Raw genomic sequence first — 20759 nt, 5'->3', positions numbered from 1 at the left:
CTCGTTAGCCTTGAACCACTGCACTGGGGAATTAGTGATGAATGATACGTGACTGCCTTTGAAACAACCATGTCTCAGCCCAGGGCAGGTGGCCTGGGCTCCGTGGGCCCTCTCTCTGGAACTAGGACAATTCTGTCCCTCAACTGGGAGCCCAACCTGCCTACCCCTAGTGCTTGAGGCATAACTGTCTTCTATGGCCAGCAATAGAAACTTGAGTCGAGCTAGCTGAAGTCAAGGTGGAAATTGTCAAATTGGATAATTAGGATTTCTATGGGGGCTTCAGGCATGGCTGGATCCAGGAGCTTACATGGTTGTCAGTTTCTCCTCTTTCTCTTTCTCTCTTCCCACGTTTCAGCCCCACCTTTTTCTGCCTCCCTCAGCTGCAGGGTGTGGAATCACTGGAGGAAGACCACTTTCTCTATAGGGATGGAAAGAGGGTCTCTGGTAGCCTGGGGTCCCCATCTTTTCAGAGCAGAATCAAATGGGAAAAGAGACACCCTCTCTCTCCTGGCACCCACAAGTTACACCTCCTGAAGGGTTCCGACCAGCCATGTCAGAAACAAATGACCACTGCTTGAGATAATTTTTATGAACAGGGTGAGGGTGGCCCCCTAACTGGCCAGGCTTGGGCCACACCCCTCTCTTGGGTGATTGACAGGCTTTGGCCACACACCCCCATCTTCAGTGATTGACAGGCTTGGACCACACCCCCCTATCCTCAGTGATTGAAAGGCTTGGACCACACCCCTCTCCTCATTGATTGGCAGTCCTGGAGAACCACACAGCCCAGACAGGGAGTGACCCCAGGGGCGAGGGGTGCTGGGTGCACAGTTTCCATGGATGCAGCAGAGAGGTCAGGGCCAGTAGCAAGCTGGACCAAAGTGGACCGGAGGGAGGCGGTGGGGCTAACGTCCACACTGCCCCTGCCGCCTTCTGTCCATTCCATCACTCATTCACTCTGCATTCTCAGAGTGGCATTCATTCATGCATTCATTCATGCATTCATTCATTTACTCATTTGCTCCACACATTCCATCACTCATTCGCTCTGCATTCTCAGAGTGGCATTCATTCATTCATTCATTCATTTACTCATTTGCTCCACACATTCCGTCACTCATTGGCTGTGCATTCTCAGAGTGGCATTCATTCATTCACTCATTTACTCATTTGCTCCACACATTCCATCACTCATTCGCTCTGTATTCTCAGAGTGGCATTCATTCATTCATTCATTCATTTACTCATTTGCTCCACACATTCCGTCACTCATTGGCTGTGCATTCTCAGAGTGGCATTCATTCATTCACTCATTTACTCATTTGCTCCACACTTGTCAGGAACTAGTGGGCATCATGCATTCACTCTTTCATTTATTCACTCCACTTTTAGGGAGAAAACCCTACACGTCATTGATTTATGTATTCACCCATTCGTTTATCAAGCAAGTCCTGTGTGCTACTCATTCCTTCATTCCCTCCACATTTGCAGGAATGAATCTCTGTGTGTCATTCATTAATTCCCTTCACATTTGTGGGGAATCCCCGGATGTCATTCATTAATTCCCCCCACATTTGTGGGGAATATCTGGGTATCATTCATTCATTCTCTCTACATTTGCAGAAGTGAATCTGGGGTATCATTCATTCATTCCCCCCACATTTGCAGTGAATATCTGGGTATCATTCATTCATTCTCTCTACATTTGCAGAAGTGAATCTGGGGTATCATTCATTCATTCCCTCCACATTTGTGGAGAATCCCTGGATGTCATTCATTCATTCCCCCCACATTTGCAGGGAATATCTGGGTATCATTCATTCATTCTCTCTACATTTGCAGAAGTGAATCTGGGGTATCATTCATTCATTCCCCCCACATTTGTGGGGAATATCTGGGTATCATTCATTCATTCTCTCTACATTTGCAGAAGTGAATCTGGGGTATCATTCATTCATTCATTCCCCCCACATTTGCAGGGAATATCTGGGTATCATTCATTCATTCTCTCTACATTTGCAGAAGTGAATCTGGGGTATCATTCATTCATTCCCCCCACATTTGCAGGGAATATCTGGGTATCATTCATTCATTCTCTCTACGTTTGCAGAAGTGAATCTGGGGTATCATTCATTCATTCCCCCCACATTTGTGGGGAATATCTGGGTATCATTCATTCATTCTCTCTACATTTGCAGAAGTGAATCTGGGGTATCATTCATTCATTCCCTCCACATTTGTGGAGAATCCCTGGATGTCATTCATTCATTCCCCCCACATTTGCAGGGAATATCTGGGTATCATTCATTCATTCTCTCTACATTTGCAGAAGTGAATCCGGGGTATCATTCATTCATTCCCTCCACATTTGTGGAGAATCCCTGGATGTCATTCATTCATTCCCCCCACATTTGCAGGGAATATCTGGGTATCATTCATTCATTCTCTCTACATTTGCAGAACTGAATCTGGGGTATCATTCATTCATTCCCTCCACATTTGCAGGGAATATCTGGGTATCATTCATTCATTCTCTCTACATTTGCAGAAGTGAATCTGGGGTATCATTCATTCATTCCCTCCACATTTGTGGAGAATCCCTGGATGTCATTCATTCATTCCCCCCACATTTGTGGGGAATATCTGGGTATCATTCATTCATTCTCTCTACATTTGCAGAAGTGAATCTGGGGTATCATTCATTCATTCCCCCCACATTTGTGGGGAATATCTGGGTATCATTCATTCATTCTCTCTACATTTGCAGAAGTGAATCTGGGGTATCATTCATTCATTCCCTCCACATTTGTGGAGAATCCCTGGATGTCATTCATTCATTCCCCCCACATTTGTGGGGAATATCTGGGTATCATTCATTCATTCTCTCTACATTTGCAGAAGTGAATCTGGGGTATCATTCATTCATTCCCCCCACATTTGTGGGGAATATCTGGGTATCATTCATTCTCTCTACATTTGCAGAAGTGAATCTGGGGTATCATTCATTCATTCCCTCCACATTTGTGGAGAATCCCTGGATGTCATTCATTCATTCCCCCCACATTTGCAGGGAATATCTGGGTATCATTCATTCATTCTCTCTACATTTGCAGAAGTGAATCTGGGGTATCATTCATTCATTCCCCCCACATTTGCGGGGAATATCTGGGTATCATTCATTCATTCTCTCTACATTTGCAGAAGTGAATCTGGGGTATCATTCATTCGTTCCCTCCACATTTGCAGGGAAGCCCTGGATGTCATTCATTCGTTCCCTCCACATTTGCAGGGAATATCTGGGTATCATTCATTCATTCTCTCTACATTTGCAGAAGTGAATCCTGGGTGTCAGTCATTCATTCCCTCCACATTTGTGAGGAATCCTTAGGTGTCATTCATTCATTCATTCTCTCCACTGTTGCAGGAGTAAATCTCTGAGTGATATTCATTCTCTCTACATTTACGGAAGTGAATCCTGGGTGTCAGTCATTCATTCCCTCCACATTTGTGAGGAATCCTTAGGTGTCGTTCATTCATTCATTCTCTCCACTGTTGCAGGAGTAAATCTCTGAGTGATATTCATTCCCTCTACATTTGTAGGGAATCCTTAGGTGTCAGTCATTCATTCCCTCCACATTTGTGGGGAATCTCTGGGTATCATTTATTCATTCTCTCTACATTTGCCGAAGTGAATCCTGGGTGTCATTCATTCATTCCCTCCACTTTTGTGGGGAAGCCCTGGGCATCATTCATTACTTTTCTCTACATTTGCAGAAGAGAATCTTGGGTGTCATTCATTCTTTCCCTGCACATTTGTGGGAATGAATCTCTGGGTGTCATTCATTCTTTCCCTCCACATTTGTGGGAGTGAATCCTAGGTATCATCCATTCATTCCCTCCACATTTGCAGGAGTGTACCCTGGATGCCATTCATTCATTCATTCCCTCCACATTTGTGGGAGTGAACCCTGGGTATCATTCATTCATTCCCTCCACATTTGCATAACTGAATCCTGGATGTCATTCATTCATTCTCTCCACATTTGTGTGGACGCTCTGAGTGTTATTCATACATGCACCCATTCATTCCCTCCACAGTCATTGGGAATGTCCTGTATCACACACACACACACACACACACACACACACCCTGCATTTACCAAGACCATCCTGGGTGCACAGCTCTAAGCTAAGGACAGCAGACCCAAAGGAGTTTGCAGCAGGTACCTGGTGGGGAGGAGAGGGTCTTCATGGAGGCAGGAGCTGGCACCCATGGGCTGGAATGAAATGCAGACTTCCAAGAGGCTCTGGCAGGTCCATGGTGGGCTGATGCCCCAAGAAGGAGGGTTGAAGGTGTCACTCAAGACTGTGCTGGGTGCAGACAGGCATAAGGAGCTGCATGGGCCAGAGGAATCACAGGAGCTAGGGCAAGGAGATATCTGTGAGTTGGTCCCACCGCTGTGGGGACACAGCTTTCTGCAGGGCCAGGTAGACCACTGTACCAAGGAAACTGGCATAAGCACATCATCTGTGCCTGACAGCGAGCAGGGGAAACACCACCCCAGCCTTTGAGTAGTAGTCACTTGGTAGCTTTGCATTCACCCCTTCCCAGGAGGGTGGTTTAGGGCAGAACCAGGCAGTGAGATTCCTCAGCTCGTTCTGCCTCTCCAGGAATAACTCAGGCAGGCTGAGGGGCTCCTGGGGGCTCAGCTGTTAGTGATACACTGGGGACCCTGTTGAGACCCACTTCTCTTCTTCTTCTTTTTTTTTTTTAGACAGAGTTTTGCTCTTGTTGGCCAGGCTGGAGTGCAGCGGCACGATCTTGGCTCACCGCAACCTCCACCTCCCAGGTTCAAGCGATTCTCATGCCTCAGCCTCCCAAGTTGCTGGGATTACAGACGCCCACCACCACGCCTGGCTAATTTTTTATAGTTTTAGTAGAGACGGGGTTTCACCGTGTTAGCCAGGATGGTCTCGATCTCCTGACCTCGTGATCCACCCGCCTCGGCCTCCCAAAGTGCTGGGATGACAGGCGTGAGCCACCGCGCCTGGCCCGGCCTTCTTTTTTACCCGTATTCTGACTTGTCCCCAACCCCTGCAAAGAGCAGGTGCAAATGCACCTGCCCAGCAGGCCAGGACTATGCTCCAGCCTCAGGGAGCACCAGGATGATACACTTCAGGTCTCTTCTCCTTGGGGAGCTCTCAGTATGCAGTATGGTCCCTGAAATCCCCTTGGGAGGGCAGGGAGGATGAGACAGGCAGCCAGAGACAGGTGCAGAGTTCAGGCTCAGAGGCGCAGGTGTGTTTCCACTCAGATGCGTGTATTTGGAGATTATTGCAAGGCAGAGTGCGGCATCTTCTACATGCCCAGAAAACCTACAGTCTGGGTCCCAAGCACCACGCCCCTTGTCACTCATGGCCCAGGTTCCTTATGCCCTCTGCCCCTCAGTGTCCCCATATGTAAAGCAAAGATGATAAGCGCGTCTTCCTAGGACGGGTGCACAAAAAAACGTTTGCAAACATTCAATGTGACGTCTGCTCTAAGAACAGGCGATGTCACCTGAGGACTCAAGCACACTTGACCTTCTCCTTCCCTGTCATCTCCAGGCAGCTAGGAAGGAAGCTCTGTGTGGCCGGGAAAGACAAGGAGGAAATTGAAACAATGCTGGACTTGAGAACTTGGACGCCTTTCACTGTGGCTCCCTGAGGGACACCGTGAGGTCACTGGTTCACACAGTGGTGGCCACTGCTTCCCCTCCACTCAGGCCCAGCCAAGCTCAAATCAGCCATAGTGACCACAGACAGGGAAGGCTTGCGCAGCCGGCCCCAGACACCCCGGTAGGGACCTGAGGGATGAGGAGGCCAGGCTGGCTACGGCCCCAGTGACGACTGCATCCCCCAAAAGCGGAAGCTCGGCCCTGGGGCTGCCCTGTCCCGGGGAGAAAGGGTCAGCCTGGCTGTGACCGGGGCTCTCTGAGGGACAGGAAGACCCAAGCAACAAGCGGGGGAGCACTGAGACTGCAGGAGCATTCAGGACTCAGCGCGGGCAGGGAGTCAGCCAGGAGGGTGTAGGGGAAGGGCCAGCTCAGACGCAGGAAGTAAACCAGAAACCTGAGGAATGTCCTTCCTGCTTCAAGAGACAATTGTTTCTTGTTGAGATTATGCTTGACATGAACTCACCGTTTTAAAGCGAATAACTGGGGGACATTTAGGACCTTCACAGTGCTGGGCAACAGCCGCCTCTGTCTATTTCCACCACTTTGTCATTCCTGCAAAAGGAAACACCCCCTTTAGGGGGAAAGTCACTCCCCGTTTCCCCATCCCCAGTCCCAGCCATGGTCATCTGCTTTCTCTCTATATGGATCAGCATGTTCTGGGCATTTTATTGAAATGGAGTCCTACACCATGTGGCCTTCTGTGTCTGGCTTCTCTCCCTGAGCATGATGTCTTCAAGGTTCATCCACAGTGTAGCCTCGGTCACAGCCTTCTTCCTTTTCATGGCTGTATACTATTCCACTGTGTGCATGGGGGGGCCACGTTGTGTTTATCTGTCTGTCTGTTGACGGACACTTGGGCTGTTTCCACCTTTTGGCTGTTGTGAAGAGTGCTGCAGGGAACGTTCATATGCAAGTTTTTATGGGTGCAACCATTTTTTGTTGTTGTTGAGACAGAGTTTCACTCTTTTCACCCAGCCTGGAGTGCAATGGCATGATCTCCGCTCACTGCAACCTCCGCCTCCCGGGTTCAAGCGATTCTCCTGCCTCAGCCTCCCAAGTGGCTGGGATGACAGGTGCCTGCCACCACTCCCAGATAATTTTGTATTTTTAGTAAAGACAGGGTTTCACCATGTTGGCCAGGCTGGTCTTGAACTCCTGGCCTCAGGTGATCCACCTGTCTCAGCTTCCCAAAGTGCTGGGATTATAGGTGTGAGCCACCACACCTAGCCCCTTTTTATACATTTTCTAATGCTACCTTCACTTACCAAAATGACATGCAGAAATAATGTATTATACATATAATTATATATACACATAAGGTGATCTATAAAATATGTTGTATATAATTTTATATATGCTATGTTCAATATGTTACATATAATACACAAATTATATATAACATATAAATGATACTATACAATATATCGTATATAATTATTAAATATACATACAATATAACATGTTTAATTTATAATAAAATAAGTTGTAAATAAATTATTATATAACAATAATATATATAAATAATATATGTAATATTATATAATAATAATTTATACATTATATCACTTTATATGATTATGTATATTATTTACATATTAAATTTACATATCCATATAGCCTTAATTACAATATAAAAGAGAAACAAAAGTAAATAAAATGTTAATAAGGTAATATTTAATTTAATGTGTACACATTTACCCATAATTTACAGTAAGGCATCATTAAGGGGCTGGGCGCAGTGGCTCACGCCTGTAATCCTAGCATTTTGGGTGGCCAAGGCAAGTGGATTGCCTGACCTCAGGAATTTGAGACCAGCCTGGGCAACATGGTACAATGCCCATCTTTGCTAAAATTCAAAAATGTAGCTGGGCGTGGTGGTGCACACCTGTAGTTCCAGCTACTCGGGAGGCTGAGGCACGAGAACTGCTTGAAGCCCAGAGGTGAAGGTTGCCGTGAGCCGCCATGAAGCCACTGCACTCCAGCCTGGACGACCGAGTGAGAAACCACCTTCAAAAGAAGAAAAAAGACATTACTAAGGGCTGGGTGCAGTGGCTCAGACCTGTAATCTCAACACTTTTGGAGGCTGAGGCAGGAGGATTTCTTGAGTCTAGGACTTGGAGACCAGCCTGAGCAACAAACTGCAATCCTGTCTCTAAAAAAAAAAAAAAAAAAAAAAAAAGACATTATTACATCATTAAGGAATCAGATGTTTGCTTAACAAATTCTCCACCTGTCTTTATTTGTCTCCAGCTTTTACCTAGGAGGAGAATTGGTGCATGACATGGTTAACTATTTGAGGACACACCAGGTGATTTTTGGAGTCAATTTGCAAACACGCAGGACTTGAATGGGACACAGAGGATTCTAGTTTTTGCTCAGGAAGGTTCCCCAGCTGCCGCTTCTTCTTCTTCTTCTTCTTTTTTTTTTTTTTTTTTTTTTTTACAGGGTTTTGCTCTGTCACGCAGGCTGGAGTGCAGTGGTGTGATCTCAGCTCACTGCAACCTCCGCCTCCCGGGTTCCAGCAATTCTCCCGTCTCAGCCTCCCGAGTAGCTGGAATGACAGGCACCTGCCATGACACCCGGCTAATTTTTTTTGTATTTTTAGTACAGACGAGGCTTTGCCTTGTTGACCAGGCTGGTCTCGAACTTCCGACCTCATGATCCGCCCGCCTCAGCCTCCCAAAGTGCTGGGATGACTGGCGTGAGCCACCGCGCCCGGCCTGTAATGTTAATTTCTTGTGCTGAGGGGTAGCCTAGGATGGGTACTGCTTTGAAATCTTTTAAAATATCCTTTTCTGTGGGCCTGAGAACCTCCCTTAGGTCACAAAGAGAACAAAGAAATGAGTCTCTGTCTATGATCACTGCTACCTTGGGACCCTTTCACCTTTCAGAGGAGAGAGATTGAAACTGGCTCACACGTGGGGAAATACGTATACTGGAGGCTTGTCACAGCTGAGGGTTCCCGTCATTGGGGGTTTGGGTCCAGGGAGCAAGAGAAAAACACACTCCTTTGTGTTCAAAGATGAAAATCTTTCCTGAGTTTAGGGGAGCCCAGCTTTGGGTTTAGGGGAACCCAGCTTTTTAGGTATATAAGGGCCCAGCTTTGGGTTTAGGGGAGTCCAGCTTTGGGTCTAAGGGAGCCCAGCTTTGAGTTGAGGGGAGCCCAGCTTTGGGTTTAGGGGAACCCAGCTTTGGGTTTAGGGGATCCCAGCTTTGAGTTTTAGGGAAACCCAGCTTTGGGTTTAAGGGAGCTCAGGTTTGGGTTTAGGAGAGCCCAGCTTTTGGTCTAAGGCAGCCCAGCTTCAGGTTTAAAGGAGGTCAGCATTGGGTTTAGGAGAGCCCAGCTCTGTGGTTAAGGGAGCTCAGCTTTGGGTTTAGGGGAGTCCAACTTTGGGTTTTGGGGAGCTCAGCTCTGGGTCTAAGGGAGCCCCTCTTTGGGTTTTAAGGAAGCCTGTTTTTGAGTCTAAGGGAGGGTAGCTTTGGGTTTTAATGGAGCTCCTGTTTGGGTTGTTTCTTTTTTTTCTCTCTCTTTAGACAAAGTTTTGTTCTTGTTGCCCAGGCTGGAGTGCAGTGGCGCAATGTTGGCTCACCGCGACCTCTGCCTCCCGGGTTCAAGCAATTCTCCTGCCTCAGCCTCCTGAGTAGCTGGGATTACAGGCATGCGCCTCCATGCCTGGCTAATTTTGTATTTTTAGTAGAGATGGGGTTTCTCCATGTTGGTCAGGCTGGTCTCGAACTCCCAGCCTCAGGTGATCCACCCACCTCAGCCTCCCAAAGTGCTGGGATTACAGGCATGAGCCACCACGCCTGGCTCCTGTTTGGGTTTTAAGGAAACCCCGCTTTGGATCTAAGGGAGCCCAGCTTTGACTTCGGGCAGGAACAAGGTAGTTGAGACCGTCTCGGTTTCTTCTCCAGGGATCTTTCTCTTTGACTGCTTTGCTGAGCACATGGCTGGAAACAGGATGAGCAGAATCCACCAGATCACAATTAAAGTATCCTAAGGCAAGTCCGCGTCAACTCACACTGAGCAACGATCTTTATTTATTTATTTAAATTAAAATAATTGATTTTATCTTTCATTTAAGTTTTAGGGTACATGTGCACAACGTGCAGGTTTGTTACATATGTATACATGTGCCATGTTGGTGTGCTGCACCCATTAACTCGTCATTTAGCATTAGGTATATCTCCTAATGCTATCCCTCCCCCGTCCCCCCACCCCACAACAGTCCCCGGTGTGTGATGTTCTCCTTCCTGTGTCCATGTGTTCTCATGGTTCAATTCCCACCTATGAGTGAGAACATGCAGTGTTTGGTTTTTTGTCCTTGCGATAGTTTGCTGAGAATGATGGTTTCGAGCTTCATCCATGTCCCTACAAAGGACATGAACTCATCATTTTTGATGGCTGCATAGTATTCCATGGTGTATATGTGCCACATTTTCATAAATGGTGCTGGGAAAACTGACTAGCCATATGTTGAAAGCTGAAACTGGATCCCTTCCTTACACCTTATACTAAAATTAATTCAAGATGGATTAAATACTTAAATTTAGATCTAAAACCATAAAATCCCTAGAAGAAAACCTAGGCACTACCATTCAGGACATAGGCATGGGCAAGGACTTCATGTCTAGAGCAACGATCTTTAAACAGAGAGCAGCTGTTAGGAAGTCAAGCCTGCGAACCTTCCTGTCACCTCTCTCTCATCTGTTAAATGAATCTGTCTGCCATAACCTGCTAAAACCATGGGCACTGTGGCTCAGTAACGGCAGAAGTGCTTAAATTTCAGCATACGTGCTATTTCCACACTCTTCTTTTGCAGCAGGGCAGGAGCCACACACTCAACCACTTTGGGTTTTTTTTTTTTTTTTCACCAAATGGCATTTCATGTTAATTAGCTTAATTCCACGTACAGTGGCTTCCTGCCTTCCAGAGTGAGGCCGATTTTGCTGCTGTTGAGACATCCTCACCCATACACACACACACACACACACACACACACACCACACACACAAATTAATTTTGTTTCAAAAAGGGGCTTCTTATGTTTCTCAGAATCTGCTCTCTGGCCAGCGATGAAGCCCCGTGCTATATACTCTGAGAATGAGATACAGAAATCAGAGAAACGCGGCCGCTGCCTTTGCAGAAGACGCAGATCAAAATCTCCACGGGGCGTCTGCGGAGGACAGCATGCAAATCTCGCTGGGCAAACGGTCTGCTTCGTTGGGTGATGCAATACAGGAAAATCAACACACAGCGGCAGAGCTCAGAGCATTTCCTACGCGTTTTTGTGCTTAGCTAGGAGGATTCTTGCCTTGTGATCTGAGGCCGACGCCAGCAGGTCCTCTATCCCCTGACGCCTGCCAGCTGCCAGTTCACTGGGGCTGGTGGGTCACTTTGAAGTCAGTAGAACACAGAGTTCGTTCAGAGGCAGGTGTTATCACAGAAACAGGGGTCACTGGGTCTACAAAGATGGGGAACTTTGAGGGTGCGAGGGTTGGAAGCTGAGCTCCACTAAACCCAAAGCTGGACTCTCCTAATCCCAAAGCTGGACTCTCCTAATCCCAAAGCTGGACTCTCCTAATCCCAAAGCTGGACTCTCCTAAACCCAAAGCTGGGCTCCTTAAACCCAAAGCTGGGATCCCTTAAGCCCAAAGCTGGGATCCCTTAAACCCAAAGCTTGAAGAAAATGTGACTACCTGGCCGGGCACGGTGGCTCACGCCTGTAATCCCAGCACTTTGGGAGGTCGAGGCAGGTGGATCACCTGAGGTCGGGAGTTCAAGACCAGCCCGGCTAACATAGTGAAATCCCATCTCTGCTAAAAACACAAAACTTAGCCAGGCGTGGTGGCAGGTGCCTGTCAGCTACTCTGGAGGCTGAGGCAGGAGAATGGCTTGAACCCGGGAGGCGGAGGTTGCAGGGAGCCGACGTTGTGCCATTGCACTCCAGCCTGGACCACAGAGCAAGACTCAGCCTCAAGAAAAAAAAAAAATGTATTGCGTGCTGCAGAGTGACCTAAAGGTCAGAGGGTGCAGGGACCGTCTTCTTGTGACCAGCATTCAATGAGAGTTCCGGTACTTCATCTGTTGGTATCTCTAGATCTTAGTCACCCTGAGACCTGTCGGCCGGCATGTCTCGGCGGTATTAATTTGCAATTCCCTGATGAGCTACGACATGGAGTGATTTTTCGTAGGTGAATTTGCCACCTGCAAAGCATCTTTCGTGAGGTGGCCCATGTTTAAATGGTTTTTTTTTTTTCCAGTGGTTGAATCTTAAGAGTTTTTTTTGGCACATTTTGCATACTGGTTCTTTGTTTTAAAAAAAGTTCTTTTATTTTCTTTTTATTTTACTTTAAGTTCTGGGGTACATGTGCAGAACATGCAGGTTTGTTACATAGGTGTACAGGTGCCAGGGTGGTTTGCTGCACCCATCAACCCGTCATCTACATTAGGTATTTGTCCTAATGCTCTCCCTCCTCTATCCCCTCACCCCCCGACAGGCCCTGGTGTGTGACGTTCCCCTCCCTGTGTCCATGTGTTCTCATTGTTCAACTCCCACTTATGAGTGACAACATGCAGTGTTTGGTTTTCTGTTCCTCTGTTAGTTTCTCAGAATGATGGCTTCCAGCTTCATCCATGTCCCAGCTTACACAGGAGGCTGAGACAGAAGGATCTCTTGAGGCCAGGAGTTCGAGGCTGCAGTGAGCGGTCATTGCACTACTGCCCCCAGCTTGGTTGACAGAGAAAGGCCCTGTCTCAAAAAAAAAAAAACCCGGGAAGCGCAAGCTGCAGTGAGCCAAGGTCGTGCCACTGCAGTCCAGCTCAGGAGACAGAGGGAAACTCTGACTCAGCCAATAAAAAAAAAAAAGAAAGAAAAGAAAGAAACATGTCAACCTCTGTTGCTGTGATGAAAATATGAGTTGAAACCTCTCACCCTTCAGGCTAGTTGCTGTCACCCTTGTTGATGAGGGTGTGAGAATGAGTGTTGCCCTTGTCTATCAGCTGTAAGCACATATTGGTGAAATTTATTGGGTGGATATTTGGTGATATTCCCTGTGTTTCTATCTTCTGGAAGGAATGGTAGAGAATCAATATAATTTCTTCCTTAAATGTTGGGGAAAATTCATCAGTAAACCCATCTGGGCCTGGAGCCTTTTGTTTGGGAAGGTTATTAAATTATCGATTCAATTTCTTTAAGAGATATAGGCTCACTCAGATTGGCTGTTTCTTCTTGTGTGAGTTGTCAGATTTTATCCTTTTGTTCTTTTCATCTAGGTGATCAATTTTATGGGCACAGAATTGTTTATAATATTTCTTTATGATCTTTTTAATGTCCATGGGATCTGTAGTGATGTCTCCTCTTTCATTTACAGTATTAGTAACTTGTGTCCTCATTCTTTGTTGTTGTTAGCCTGACTAGAAGCTTATTACTCTCATTGATTGTTATTTCAAAGAACAAGCCTATGGTTTTGATTTTTGTCTATTGACTTGCTGTTTTCAATTGCACTGATTTCTGTCCTCTATGGATTTCCTATTTTCAAATCCACTGATTTCTCCTCTAATCTAATATTTATGATTTATTTCTTTCTTCTTCCATTAGATTTAATTTGCTCTTCTTTTTCTAGTTTCTCGAGGTGGAAACTTAAATTATTGATTTTAGATCTTACTTCCTTTCTAATACATGCATTCCATTTAAAATATGCAAACCCTTCAAATCAGCAGATCTTCTCCTAGAAATCGATCCTAGAAAATGTTCTCACAGGTATGCATAAAAATACTTACAGAGGAGTGTGTGTAAGCACACAGGCTGAAGCAGAGTTGATCCATCCAAATCCCCTCACTGTGGGGCATATGGTTAGAGACACCACAAGACATTCACAAAAGTGGTGACGGGTGTATGTCCTACTATGCAAAATAAAACTTACCTGTGTATGAAAGGAGGCTCCAGAGCAAACGAACTCCCAGAGGTTACTTCTGAAGGGAAGTGGGACCTGGAGGGGAAAGATCCAAAGACAAACACGAATACAGAGCTCTCTATTTCTCTTTATTCTTTTACTCATAACAAGTGTGTGTGTGTGTTCTGTAATTGGAAGATCTAAAAATTAAACCAAAGTTGAAAACTCAATGGTGTCTGGAAGTTCAGAAGAGGTTGCATCTGCTTCTGTGGCTGAGGGGACTTGGAATGTGGGAACCTGGAAGTGGTGGTATCAACCCCGGTTTTATTAGGATAAGTTGCAGTTCAGTGGGGAGGGACCACCAGAAAGGCAGACAGCAGGGGGCAGGAGGCTTCTGGTATATTCCATGATAGTCTTTGCACCATGAGCCCACCACCTAGCTTCTCTGTTTTCCCAGCCCCTGCTATCTATGTTCACATAAAAAGATACCTGTACCGGGAGCAGTGGCTCACACCTGCAATCCCAGCACTTTGGGAGGCCGAGGTGGGTGGATCATAAGGTCAGGAGTTCGAGACCAGCCTGGCCAACATGCTGGAACCCCCATCTCTACTAAAAATACAAAAATTAGCCAAGCATGGTGGCAGGCGCCTGTAGTCCCAGATATTCAGGAGGCTGAGGCAAGAGAATCGCTTGAACCCGGGAGGCGGAGGTTGCAGTGAGCCGAGATCGTGCCACTTCACTCCAGCCTGGACAACAGAGCGAGACTCTGTCTCAAAAAAATAAATAAATAAATAAAAGATACCTGTGCCACTTCAGCTTCCCATATTGAAAACCACCAACTCTCTTCCTACTTCCTCCCTCCCAAAAGGACCTGTCTGTCACCCTACAACCTCTCTGCAATCTCTTATCTACAGTCTGCCTTCTGCAATCTCTCTAGTTTATATGATCCCTGTTTGCAAAAGATATGTTGGTAATAATTTCTGCTTCCCTGCTGGGCACACACACACACACACACACACATACGCCTGCCAGCACCATTTTTCATTTTAAAAGCATTGGTGTCCATCATACAGAGAAATGCTTAGGATTGGAAACAGGAGATACCAATGGAAGGTTCCACATGAGTCAAGAACTTCTCTTTGTTATTGCTTCTGGCCACAGCTCTGACGTCTGACCCCACCCCAGCTCAGGGGCCCAAGAGATGCTTTAGCTCATGTTCCATCTGTCTTCCTGAAGACCAGGTCTCCTCCTCTGTGATGGGGTGGGAGGTCCGTGACGGCAAGGCAATGAGGGGCACGTGCAGGCATTTTAAGGAATCGCTCTTCATCCACAGCTGGTCACTAACCATGATGAGACCACTGTCCCTTTCCACGACACCAGCTTCTTGCTAGGAACATCTGCCTGGGGTCTTTTCTCTCCCCGAAAGCCTCTTGCAGACATTCTTTGGAAAGTACTCCTGAGCTCTGTGTGTTTGTTGAAGGCTGCTCTTGTCACACAGTTGCTTGAGGGCAGGTTTCTCAGCCTTAGCACTGCTGACATTTCAGCCCAGATGATCCTCTGTGGTGGGGCCATCCTGTGTACTGTAGGGTGTTGAGCAGTGTCCCTGGGATCTACCCACCAGATGCCAGACGCATCTTCCCAATTATGATACCTGAATCATTCACATTTGCAAACTATTGAATGGATAAATAATTGATGCATAGATAAATAATTGATAGATTGATGAACACGTATATGTGATTGTTAGATAACTGATTCACAGATGATAGATGTAATTAATAGATAACTGATTGGTAGGTAATTGATATGAATAGATGAAAGATCCATAGAAAGATGATTGATTCATAATTGATAGATATGATTGCTAGATAGATAAGTAATTGATAGAGAGAAAATTGATAGGTAGATAGATGATCGATTGATAGATAATTGATATAGATAGATGATAGATCAAGGGTTGCAAGACGATTGATATAGATAGATGATAGATGATAGATGGATGACAGGGGTTAGATCAACAAATGGATTCATGGATAGACAGATGGTGAATTTCTTCTTCTTCTTCTTCTTTTTTTTTTTTTGAGATGCAGTCTTGCTCTGTCGCCCAGGCTGGGGTGCAATGGCACAATCTCAGCTCACTGCAACCTCCGCCTCCCAGGTCCAAGTGCTTCTCCTGCCTCAGCCTCCCAAGTAGCTGGGATTAGAGGCACCCGCCACCACACCTGGCTAGTTTTTGTATTTTGAGTAGAGACGGGGCTTCACCGTGTTGGCCAAGCTGGTCTCAAACTCCTGACCTCAGGTGATCCACCCACCTCGGCCTCCCAAAGTGCTGAGATTACAGGTGTGAGCCACTGCTCCAGGCTGACGGTGAAGTTCTTATGCTCATGCCAGGTTGTCAACCTCAGCACTGTAGATATTTGAGGCTGGATGCTTCTCTGTGGTGGGGACCCTCCTGTGCATGGTAGGGTGTTGAGCACCATCCCTGGGCTCCACCCACCAGATCCCAGTAGCATCCTTCCTTAAGTTGTGGCAACCAGGGATGTTTCCTACATTTCCAACTATTCTTGAGGGTAGGGGAAGCCTTCTAGGTGACCCTTGTTCTTCTAGACCTGGCATCAGCCACCCTTGGCTACCTCTCAAACATCTATATGACCCATTATATTTCTTTTTTTTTTTTCTTTTTGAGGCAGAGTCTCACTTTGTCACCCAGGCTGGAGTGCAGTGGTGCCATCTAGGCTTACTGCAAGCTCTGCCTCCGGGGTTCATGCCATTCTCCTGCCTCAGCCTCCCGAGTAGCTGGGACTACAGGCACCCGCCACCACGCCCGGCTAATTTTTTTTTTCTTTTTTGTATTTTTAGTAGAGAAGGGGTTTCACCGTGTTAGCCAGGATGGTCTCCATCTCCTGACCTCATGATCTGCCCACCTCAGCCTCCCAAAGTGCTGGGATTACAGACATGAGCCACCGTGCCCAGCCGACCCATTATATTTCTAAATCGATATCAAGGACTCTTGCTCAAACAGGTCTGGGTGCACTAACAGTGACCCTGAGACCACATTGTAAAATCCTGAACAACTTGGTCATAGGAGGTGTCCCAAAGCTGGATTCTTCCTGTGACCCTTGTAGGTCAGCACCAGGTGTATACCTGTACCTCCTCCCTCCTGGAGCTGGAAGGGGTCTGATGCCTGGGTCATGGAGAGCTCTGGACAGCCCCTGTGCCATAGATCCACATGTCAAAGGTCAAGAAGATGTCTTGGCCCCTGCAGGGAGATGCTTGAGCAGGGAGCTCTGAGCCTTGCTTCCTTCCCTACCCTAGTGGTTCAATGCAACCATGGCAGGTGAGGAGAGGGTCCTATGCAGCCATTCCTCCTGGGCTTTGGCAAATCACATCATAATCTATATGCTCCACTCTGCTAGTGTTGGACATTTCTCAACAGTAAGTCAACCAAAGAAAGGGGGACTGCATGAATACATGTTGTTGTTGTTATTGCTTTGCAGTGCCGTCTTTATATCTTCAAGTCTTGAGATCCTTGTCTTCCATTGAGTTTCTGAGGCCCATTGGCTTGTTCCTCATTTCTTTCTCTTATCCTATAATCTTGTGCTTTTCATGCTTTATCTTTCTTTTAAGGTTCTTCCTCTCTTTTATTTGGTATGATGACGCTTTCTCTAATTTCTTTGAAGTCTGTTGGTTAAAACTTTTCCTCTCTTTTCTCGGTGTATTGGTTTGCGACAGCTGCCATAACTAATTACCACTGATGTGGTGGCTTAAATAACAGCAATGCATTCTCTCCCCATCCTGGAGACCAGAAGTCTGAGATGAAGGTATTGGCAGGGTTGGTTCCTCATTAGGGCTCTGAGGGAAAATCTGTTCCAAGCTTTGCTGCAGCTTCTGGTGATTTTCTGGAAACAATCGGCATTTCATGGTGGATAGAAGCATCCATCCATGCATCATCTATTCATCCATCCACCCATCTACCCACCCACCCATCTACCCACTCATCCATCCATCCACCCATCCATCCACCTACCCATCCACCCACTCATCCATCCATCCACCCATCCATACATCTGCCCATCCATCTACCCATCAACCCATCCATTCATCCACCCATAAATCCAGCCACCTAAACACTGATCCATCCATCCACCCACCCACCCACCCACTTATCCATCCCTCCACACAGGCATACACCTATTCATCTATCCATCCACCCGTCTATCCATCTACCCATCCATCTACCCATCCTCATCCATTCCTCATACATCCATTCACCCATCCTCCCACTCATCCATCTGTCCACCCATCCATCCACCCACACGTCCAACCACCTAAACACTGATTCATCCATCCACCCACCCACTTATCCATCCATCCATCCATCCATCCATCCACACACCCATACACCTATTCATCTATCCAGCCACCCATCTACACACCCATACACCTATTCATCTATCCAGCCACCCATCTATCCATCCACCCATCCATCTACCCATCCTCATCCATTCATCATACATCCATTCACCCATCCATCTACCCATCCTCATCCATTCATCATACATCCATTCACCCATCCTCCCACTCATCCATCTGTCCACCCATCCATCCACCCACACGTCCAACCACCTAAACACTGATCCATCCATCCACCCACCCACTTATCCATCCATCCATCCATCCATCCATCCATCCATCCATCCATCCATCCATCCACACACCCATACACCTATTCATCTATCCAGCCACCCATCTATCCATCTACCCATCCATCTACCCATCCTCATCCATTCATCATACATCCATTCACCCATCCTCCCACTCATCCATCTATCCACCCATCCATCCACTCACACGTCCATCCACCTAAACACTGATCCATCCATCCACCCACCCACTTATCCATCCATCCATCCATCCATCCATCCACACACCCATACACCTATTCATCTATCCAGCCACCCATCTATCCATCCACCCATCCATCTACCCATCCTCATCCATTCATCCTCCATCCACTCACCCATCCTCCCACTCATCCATCTATTCACCCTCCCATCCACCCACCCATCCACCTACTCATCTATTCATCCACCCATCCATACACCCACCCATCCATCTACCCATCAACCCATCCATTCATCCACCCACACATCCACCTATCTAAACACTGATCCATACATCCACCCATTCACCCACCTACCCACCCATTCACAAACCCGCCTACCATTCATCCACCCATCCACCCTCCCATCCACCCACCCATCCATCCACTCATCCATGCATCCGTCCATCCACCCACTCATCCATCTATCCACCCATCCATCCACCCACCCATCCACCTACTCATCTATACATCCACCAATCCATCTACCCATCAACCATCAATGCATCCACCCACATATCCACCTATCTAAACACTGATCCATCCATCCACCCATCCACCCACCCACCCACTCACCCATTCACAAACCCACCCACCATTCATCCACCCACCCATCCATCTACCCATCCCCATCCATTCATCATCCATCCACCCACCCATCCACCCAGTCATCCATCTATCCACCCATACATCCACCTACTCATCTATACATCCACCCATCCATCTACCCATCAATCCATCCATTCATCCACCCACACATCCACCTATCTAAACACTGATCCATCAATCCACCCATTCACCCACCTACCCACCCATTCACAAACCCACCTACCATTCATCCACCCACCCACCCATCCATCCACCCATCCATGCATCCATCCATTCACCCAGTCATCCACCTACTCATCCATACATCCACCCATCCATCTACCCATCAACTCATCCATTCATCCACCCACACATCCATCTATCTAAACACTGATCCATCCACCCACCCATCCACCCACCCACCCACTCACCCATTCAGAAACCCATCCACCATTCATCCACCCATGCATCCATCTACCCATCCCCATCCATTCATCATCCATCCAACCCCCCATCCACCCACTCATCCATCTATTCACCCATCCGTCCACGCACCCATCTACCTACTCATCTATCCATCTACCTACTCATCTATCCATCCACCCACCCATCCATCCACCCATCCATCTACCTACTCATCTATCCATCCACCCACCCATCCATCCACCCATCCATCTACCCATCAACCCATCAATTCATCCACCCACACTTCCAGTTATCTAAACACTAATCCATCCATCCACCCATCCACCCACCCACTCACCCATTCACAAACCCACCTACCATTCATCCACCCATCCACCCTCCCACCCACCCCCATCCATCCACCCACCCATCCGCCCACCCATGCACTCATCCACTCACCCGCCCATCCATCTACCCATCCACATCCATTCATCATCCATCCACCAACCCATCCACCCACTCATCCATCTAGCCACTCATCCATCCACCCACCCATCCACCTACTCATCTATACATCCACCCATCCATCTACCCATCAACCCATCAATTCATCCACCCACACATCTATCCACCTAAACACTGATCTATCCATCCACACATCCACCCACCCACCCACCATTCATCCACACATCCACCCTCCCACCCATCCACCCATCCATGCATTCATCCATACATCCTCCCATCCATCTACCCATCAACCCATCCATTCATCCACCCACACATCCTATCTAAACACTGATCCAGCCATCCACCCACTCACCCACCTACCCACCCATTCACAAACCCACCTACCATTCATCCGCACACCCACCCTCCCACCCACCCACCCATCCACCCATCCATCCACCCACCCATCTGCCCACCCATGCACTCATCCACTCACCCACCCATCCATCCATCCACCCACCCATGTACCCATTCATCCACCCATCTATGCATCTACCCATCCATCCACCCACCCATCCATCCATTTATTCATCCATCTACCCATCCATCCACTCTCGTCTCTGTCTTCATCTTTCCATGCCTTCTCTCTGTGTCTGTGCCTAAATTTCTCTTTCTCCTAAGGACGCCAGTGAATTTTATTAGGGCCTCTCCCTACTCTATTATGACCACATTTTGACTTCACTAATGACATAGACGCAGACCCTATTTCTAAGTAAGAAATGGCCATAATACCGAGAGTATCAGCCAGGGTGTGGCCCACGACA

The 20759-nt window shown here is 47.2% G+C and overlaps 1 protein-coding gene across 8 annotated transcripts in view, besides 3 other annotated features; it reads left to right on the top strand.

Moving 5' to 3' along the window:
- P2RY8 (P2Y receptor family member 8) overlaps window positions 1-20759 on the top strand; it is a 74605-nt gene that overhangs the window by 44303 nt on the left and 9543 nt on the right. Inside the window, exon 2 of one of the 8 annotated variants that reach the window (NM_001424188.1) lies at window positions 10774-11908. The exons of 6 other annotated variants lie outside the window; for them this stretch is intronic. The gene's annotated coding sequence lies outside the window, so the exon portion shown is untranslated. Of the gene's footprint in view, window positions 1-9632; window positions 9720-10773; window positions 11909-20759 lie in introns of all 8 variants that reach the window. One more of the 8 variants, NM_001424187.1, reaches the window with a different exon arrangement.
- Window positions 10610-11321: an enhancer, noted in NCBI's record as "OCT4-NANOG-H3K27ac-H3K4me1 hESC enhancer chrX:1600455-1601166 (GRCh37/hg19 assembly coordinates)". NCBI's record gives its function as "activates a minimal SCP1, AML or CMV promoter by ChIP-STARR-seq in primed H9 embryonic stem cells {active_cell/tissue: H9 hESC(primed)}" and the evidence as "EXISTENCE:reporter gene assay evidence [ECO:0000049][PMID:30033119]".
- Window positions 10614-11113: an enhancer, noted in NCBI's record as "OCT4-NANOG-H3K27ac hESC enhancer chrY:1550663-1551162 (GRCh37/hg19 assembly coordinates)". NCBI's record gives its function as "activates a minimal SCP1, AML or CMV promoter by ChIP-STARR-seq in primed H9 embryonic stem cells {active_cell/tissue: H9 hESC(primed)}" and the evidence as "EXISTENCE:reporter gene assay evidence [ECO:0000049][PMID:30033119]".
- Window positions 11787-11955: a silencer, noted in NCBI's record as "fragment chrX:1599821-1599989 (GRCh37/hg19 assembly coordinates)". NCBI's record gives its function as "represses an EF-1alpha promoter that drives an FKBP-Casp9 reporter gene in an ReSE screen in HepG2 liver carcinoma cells {active_cell/tissue: HepG2}" and the evidence as "EXISTENCE:reporter gene assay evidence [ECO:0000049][PMID:32094911]".

This window comes from Homo sapiens, chromosome Y (genome assembly GCF_000001405.40).
Source record: "Homo sapiens chromosome Y, GRCh38.p14 Primary Assembly".
In the NCBI taxonomy this organism is placed as follows: Eukaryota; Metazoa; Chordata; class Mammalia; order Primates; family Hominidae; genus Homo; species Homo sapiens.
The sequence above is the reverse complement of the archived record's forward strand: the minus strand, read 5'-3'. Positions and strand labels throughout refer to the sequence as shown.